Source organism: Homo sapiens, chromosome 10 (assembly GCF_000001405.40).
Source record: "Homo sapiens chromosome 10, GRCh38.p14 Primary Assembly".
NCBI lineage: Eukaryota > Metazoa > Chordata > Mammalia > Primates > Hominidae > Homo > Homo sapiens.
Genome location: NC_000010.11, coordinates 37,941,638 through 37,949,477, shown reverse-complemented (window position 1 = coordinate 37,949,477; position 7,840 = coordinate 37,941,638).

Sequence of the window (7,840 nt, the reverse complement as noted above, 5' to 3'; positions counted from 1 at the left end):
CCAGGCTCAAGCAATTCTCCCACCTCAGCCTCCCGAGTAGCTGGGACTACAGGCACGCACCACCACACCTGGCTAATTTTTGCCTTTTTTTTTTTTTGGTAGATATGGGGTCTCCCCATGTTGCCCAAGCTGGTCTTGAACTCCTGGGCTCAAGCAATCTGCCTGCTTTGGCCTCCCAAGGTGCTGGGATTATAAGCATGAGCCACCACACCCATCTAATATTAAGCTTCTTAATCATGCCTTGTTGTGACGTTCTGACCTGTCTGATGTTTAGCATTTATGAACCCCTAATATGATATTTACTGATTACTTGTATCTCAAGAAGGTATACTTTGTACTTACATGTTATACCTTCTGAATACTTTATGGGAAAATATTTTTACCAATATTTCATTCTACTCAGCATTGCCGCGAGAATGCCGTCTTGATGGAGGTTTGAGGTAACATCTATCTGTAGATAAGCCTTTAGGGTGGTTCTTTATTTTACTGTGAAAGAAAATACACTTTCTAAATCCTCAGGCTTCTCAATAAAAAAATTAAATAAAAATGAATACTTTCTGGGTACAGTCCAATAACTGTGACAAATCTGTTATCAAGAATAAAGCCAGTTGGGTGCCGTGGCTCATGTTGGTAATCCCAGTATTTTGGGAGGCTGAGGCAGGTGGTTCACTTGAGGTCAGGAGTTCAAGACCATCCTTGCCAACATGGCAAAACCCCATCTCTACTAAAAATACAAAATTAGCTGGGCGTGGTAGAACCAGCTACACAGGAGGCCATGGCAGGAGAATTACTTGAGCCTGGGAGACAGAGGTTACAGTGAGCCAAGATCATGCCACTGCACTTCAGTCTGGGTGTCAGAAAAAATAAATAAATACATAAATAAAGCCCGTACTAACAAGAACACTTTAATACTCTTAATGATGAGAATACTCACGTTCTCCATAGTCAAGCCTGAGAGTTTCTTGGCCATAGTCTCAAGCCATGAATGGGTAACCACAAAAATTGATAGGAGACAAGTAATCAGACATTGAAAGCAATTAGTCAGACAATCTCTCCTCAGTACACATGCTTATGAAAGTCACCCAATCTGACAGCTATGCATTTCTGAAAGCCAGTCAGCACCAGCCTTCACTCTGACCATGCTTTGGCAAGTTAGCTTTTGGCTCAGGCCGGTGACCATGCTTTTACCACCAAAAGAAAGCCAGTCCCTCAACACTCTTTCTTTCAAAAGCTGGCCAATTCCTGAATCCCATGTTTCCTAAAGCTCTGTATCGTCTTATACTTTGGCTGTGATTTACAAGTACAGAGTTCCTTTGGTTAGTGAAGGCCACAGATACACTTATCAATTCCTTCCTGCCTGCCACTCTGGTCACAAGAGGGAGATTCTTTTCCCCATCTTTGAATCTGGGCTGGCCTGGGACTTGCTTTAGCCTACTACAACATGGAGAAGTTCCAGGCCTACCCTTTAGGAAGTGTGGCAGCTTGAAGCTAACCATCATGCAAAAAGTTGGACTAGTTCGAGGCCATGTCATGAAGAAACCCAAGCAGCCCATGGTGAAGCCCCTGGTATCAAGCATGCTTATGAAGCTCCCTTAGCTCCTCCAGCCCAGCCCCTCCACTGCTGAATGTACCAGTGACCTGAATGAGACACCAGCCACAGCCAACTGAAGCAGAATTCCCAGTACACACAGAAAAGTAATACATCAGTCATTGTTTTAAGCCATTAAGTTTTAGGTATTTCAAAGTGAATCAGAGAGTAAGCAACAAATCAAAGCAAAAAGCTTAAACAAAAAGTTTAAGAAATTGAATGGTTAGTCTCTTGCACAACAAGAGTTATGCCACCTAAGTGGCCCTTAGAAGTTTGCCAATATTTGAAATGACAGTTGTTTAATCTGATTTCTAAAAAGGACTTACCCAGGCTGAGCACAGTGGCTCATGCCTGCAATCTCAGCACTTTGGGAGGCTGAGATAGGTGGATCGCTTTAGGTCAGGAGTTCAAGACCAGCCTGGCCAACATGGTGAAACCCAGTCTCTACTAAAAGTAGAAAAATTAGGTGGCCGGGCACGGTGGCTCACATCTGTAATCCCAACACTGGGAGGCCGAGGCAGGTGAATCATAAGGTCAGGATTTCAAGACCTACCTGGCCAACAGTGAAACCCTGTCTCTATTAAAAAATACAAAAAATTAGCCAGGCGTGGTGGCAGGTGCCTGTAATCCCAGCTACTCTGGAAGCTGAGGCAGGAGAATCGCTTGAATCTGGGAGGCGGAGGTTGCAGTGAGCCGAGGTCGCACCATTGAACTCCAGCCCGGGTGACAGTGCGAGACTCTGTCTCAAAAAAAAAAAAAAAAATTAGCTGGGCACAGTGGTGGATGCCTGTAATCCCACCTACTCAGGAGGCTGAGTCAGGAGAATTGCTTGAACCCAGGAGATGGAGGTTGCAGTGAGCCAAGATTGCGCCATTGTACTCCAGCCTGGCGGACGAGCAAAACTCCATCTCAAAAAATAAATAAATAAATAATAAAGAGGACTTACCCAAATATAACAGTCTGTCCCCATGAAAGAGAGGTAGTGTTGGCTAAATTGGACTGTCTTATACTGCAAGTTGTCACCCAAAACTATATCCAGACCTTGAAACTTACATAACAAAGAATAAACCCTAATAACAGGAAAAACTTGTCCATTTTTTTTAATGAAGATTTTATCCAAGATATTTAACAAGCGACCAAATCTTGCCTCATCCATAAAGTTTACAGATGGCTTAAGACACTCTCTCATAGAGCATTTAGATATTTACAAGTGAGTATATTCAGCTACTTGAAAGCATTAATCCTCTTTAAATGGTTCGTATAAATTGTATTTTGATTATACTTTCCCTTGTGAAATAACTATTATTTTGATTCAAAAGCTTTTTTGTTTTTTGTTTTGTTTTTTGAGATGGAGTCTTGCTCTGTCACCAGGCTGGAGTACAGTGGCATGATCTCGGCTCACTGCAACCTCTGCCTCCCTGGTTCAAGCGATTCTCCTGCCTCAGCCTCCCAAGTAGCTGGAATTACAGGCATGCACCACCACACTCAGGTAATTTTTGTATTTTTAGTAGAGACCAGATATCACCATGTTGGCCAGGATGGTCTCGATCTCCTGACCTCGTGATCCACCCACCTCGGCCTCTCAAACAGCTGGGATTACAGATGTGAGCCACCATGCCTGGCATTTTTTTTTTTTTTTTTTGAGATGTAGTCTTGCTCTGTTGCCCAGGCTGGAGTGCAGTGGTGCGATCTCGGCTCACTGCAACCTCTGCCTCCCAGGTTCAAGCAATTCTCCTGCCTCAGCCTCCTGAGTAGCTGGGATTACAAGCATGCACAACTATGCCCGGCTAATTTTTGTATTTTTTTAGTAGAGACGGGGTTTCACCATGTTTGTCAGGCTGGTCTCGAACTCCTGACCTTGTGATCTGCCAACCTCAGCCTCCCAAAGTGCTGGGATTACAGGCGTGAGCCACAAGCCTGGCCCAAGAGCTTTTTAATTTTGTTTCCAACCTTGAGAATCCATTTCCCAGTGAAACACTTAAACTATATGATATTCTCATTAAAAACAAATTCCATCACCTACATTGTCCTAAAAGCTCTAAGACGATCAAATAAGTGAATTGCTTCAGATTCAAAACTTTTGGACAGGCTCAGTGGGCTCAGGCCGCGCGCAATGGCCTACGCCTGTAATCCCAGCACTTTGGGAGGTCGAGGTGGGTAGATCATTTAAGGTCAGTCTTTCAAGCCCAGCTTAGCCAATATGGTGAAACCCCGTCTCTACTAAAAATACAAAAATTAGTCAGGCGTGATGGTGGACACCTATAATCCCAGCTACTTCAGAGGCTGAGGCAGGAGAATCACATTGAACCCGGGAGGCAGAGGTTGCAATGAGCCGAGGTCATGCCACTGCACTTCAGCCTGGGGTGACAGAGCAAGACTGTCTAAAAAAAAAAAAAAACTTTCTCTGTGTTCTAAGAATGTAAATGTTGGACATAATTTGGGAAAGCTTGTGCAGCTACAGGAGGAAATGAGAACAAGACTTGGAAGTAAGAAGTTTCTTACACTCACAGGTCCCAGACAGGGGTCATCACCGTGTGCCACACAGGGCCGTGGAGCACCAGTGTCAGTCAGGAGGCAGAAGCAAGATTCAAGGGAAAGCCTAGGCTACACCCTTTATTGGGTTTCTGTGGGAAGGGCAAGGCAGGGCAGGGTGAAGAGTTTGGGATGGGCTAGTCTGAATAAGGCCAGCAGGCTCTAGATGTGGTCTCTAGTCATCTGGAACCTGACCCTGGGATGATCTAGGGTAGGAGAAAACTTGCTTGGAGAATTAGATAAAGAAATGATTGAGCCTGTGATTGTTGGTTTGCAAATCAAAGACCTGCTCCAGGCTGAGCCCTTTGCTATCTGTAGGAACTGGCTAATCCTGGGAAGGGCAGTCTCTCCCAAGCCAGCAAGATGTCAAAACATCATAGACAGAAAAGCTTTTAAAACATAATTAATACACAATGCTTTTAAAAAAAACTTCATATTTCTTGGCTTATAGTTCTACAGCTATCCCTAAGGATGACAACAATGTGATCTAAACCTTAAAATACCTGTAAACTCATCATATGAAATTGTTACTGAATAGGCTGGGTGCTATGGCTCACATCTGTAATCCCAGCACTTTCGGAGGCTAAGACAGGCAGATCACCTAAGGCCAGGAGTTGCAGACCAGCCTGGCCAACATAGTGAAACCCCATCTCTACTAAAAATACAAAAATTAGCCAGATATGGTGGCACACACATGTAATCCCAGCTACTCGGGAGGCTGAGGGAAGAGAATTACTTGAACCCAGGAGGTGGAGGTTGCAGTGAGCTGAGATCGCACCATGGCAGTTTAGCCTGGACAACAGAGTGAGACTCCATCTCAAAAAAAAAAAAATGTTACTGAACAACCTGGAACTTGGCTTGAATTTTCCCCTCACAGATTCTAAATTGAGATTACCAGATATTTCATGTCAGATACACAGTCATATGCCCAACAGATAACACTGCCTTTCCAAAGAGAAAGTCACCAGAAACATCTGTACATATTACATAATCAGAAGACTAAGTACATGCAGAGACATAAATGAATGTCAGCTGTAAGTGAAGGACATTTCATACAGTGAAATGTATGTCACTGTAAGTGAAGGCCTTATCATACAAGGCCCCATGCCCTTACACTAGGAGACATGTCAGGAAACGCCTCCCGTATAGTTAGCGCAGGGTATAACTTATCTGCTTCTCCCTTTCAGACTACCTGTAATCAGTCTCTACTTACTTCCTTAAATGCCTCAGTCTCCTACCAAGCACCCAACAATACCTGGCTGGCCTGCACTTCAGGCCTCACTCACTGCATCAGTGGGACTGAACCTGGACCTCTCCTGTGTGTGTTGGTTCATGTACTGCCCCAGGTCTACGTGTACAGCGGCGGGGGTTGGGCGGGGGCTGTAAGTGAAGGAACTAAAATAGAGTGTGTCCGGCTATCTCAGCTAAGAGAAACAATCAGGTTAAAACAAAGTAGGGTATCACATTCCCCACTCGTGTTTAGGGGAATCAAATCATTGATTCCTCGGTTATAACAAGGGGGTTATATTGGGTTCTAAGATGCATAAGTTTGACAGAAGCTATGCACTGCTTTATAAAGTTAAGAAACCAATTTAATATACAAGGCCCAAAGACTAAGCCAAACAAGAGGAGGAGAAGGGGTCCCGCCAATCCAGTAATTAGAGTAGTTAGCCATGGATTCCAGTTAAACATGTTTTGGTACCAGGGGTGTTATTTTCCTGTTTCTGTTGGCATCTATCTAGATTTGTTTGAACTCTTTGGAGTGTATCTTTTATGACCCCAGACTGATTGGCATAGAAACAACTTTCTCCTAGAGCTGTGCATAACCCTCTTTGGGAGAGAAATAGCAGATCTAAGCCTCGGCAGTTTTGAAGTACTACTTCAGCTACAGACTCTGCCTGAGTATACAGTATATTTACGGCTGAGTAGAGATTGCTTAAATCAGCATCTACTTATTAAGACAGGGATATTAGTCCAGTTTCTCCCTGAACCAGGGCAGCTGTGCCAATGGCTGCTGATTCAGCTATGCTAAGGCCGGCCAGAAGGGGTATGAGGAGTGGGGTGGCTCAGTGAAACCTGGAATGTAATTCAGGTGGAGCGATGAGAAGTCGCCCTTCTGGCCTGCTGTACACGTAGACCTGGGGCAGTACATGAACCAACACACACAGGAGAGGTCCAGGTTCAGTCCCATTGATGCAGTGAGTGAGGCCTGAAGTGCAGGCCAGCCAGGTATTGTTGGGTGCCTGGTAGGAGACTGAGGCATTTAAGGAAGTAAGTAGAGACTGATTACAGGTAGTCTGAAAGGGAGAAGCAGATAAGTTATACCCTGCGCTAACTATACAGGAAGCGTTTCCTGACATGTCTCCTAGTTTAAGGGCATGGGGCCTTGTATGATAAGAAGAGAGTTAATTTTGAACATGGCTTCTATTCCTAACCCAACATAATATGGGGGTTTGGCCTTTAGGCACAACCAGCAATCTTGGGCTAGTTTAAGCTGGGTGAGATTAAGGAGGTGATGTACCCCATCCAGAATGGACATCAGGCTGGGTTGGAGATGTTGTCATTGTAACTGAGATCTGGGAACAAGGAGTGGTGGCGGGATGGTTAAATCAACCCTGTCTGGGTGTCTTTACAATATAGGGTCACCTAAATCAGTTAAAGGTCCGATTGACTTAGGAGGGCTCCATGGGACCAGGACATTTTTCTGGATGGTGAACATAGTACCAACATCAAATCCCGAGATATAAAGCCTTAATCCCCATGACATGCCTTAATACCATTGAGCTGAATTAGGGCTATGGACAGTTATAGTAAGAGGATTGCAATTTTTTACAGTACACTGTCTAGGACGGGAAGTGCGAGTTCTGGAAAGTGTTGAGGACCAGGTCAATCCTCCAGGGTATGTGGCCAGGGTTACACATGACCAGTGAGGGCAGAAAAACTGATAAGAATCTAGACAACTAGAGTCAGGGTGATTTCCAGGACAGAGGTAAAAGTCAACGCTCTGGAGTCCTTTTTCTGCACCTTTAGAGCTTCCACATCTAGTCCGGCTTCCTGTGTGTCTGGACCCTGCAGCGAGGTTGACATTTCCTGCTCCCATAACCGGCAGGTTGGGTTGTTTTTCATGGGTTTGGGCAGGCTCTGGGAACAAAGCACATAAATCGACTGCAAAAGAGACTTCCTTGGAGGTTCCTGCCTTCCAGGTGGTGTTTGCAAACACACATACTGTCGTGAAAGAAGTGAGGAGAAAAGAGTAGAGAGGGGCAGAGGGCGTAATAGGCGGAAACAAACAAAAGAGGTAAATAAAAATGATTAATCCGATGGCTTCACTTGACTTATGCGCAGTTTTAAGGGGCATGGCCCAGGCTTGGGGATCCATGTTTCTTGCTGGGCTTTGTTCGCCTTTTTGATGTGACAGTGATGAATCCAAGAAGGAATGCCATCCACTTTCAGAGCCATCGGCGTGGTGAGGATGACAGTATGAGGTCCTTTTCAGGCAGGAGTGAATCCTTCCTTCTGGAACTTTTTAACCTATACTAAGTCACCTGGCTGGAAAAAGTGGCAGGGCCCAGTCTGGTCAGGAACTGGATTGGAGTGTGCTCCCTGGACAAGTGGCTGGATGGTGTCTCATACCTGTTGGAGAGACTGCAGGTACTGAACAAATTAGCTTGTGAGATTTCTGCTAAATTGGTATCCCTTAGCTTAGGCAAGATAGGCGGA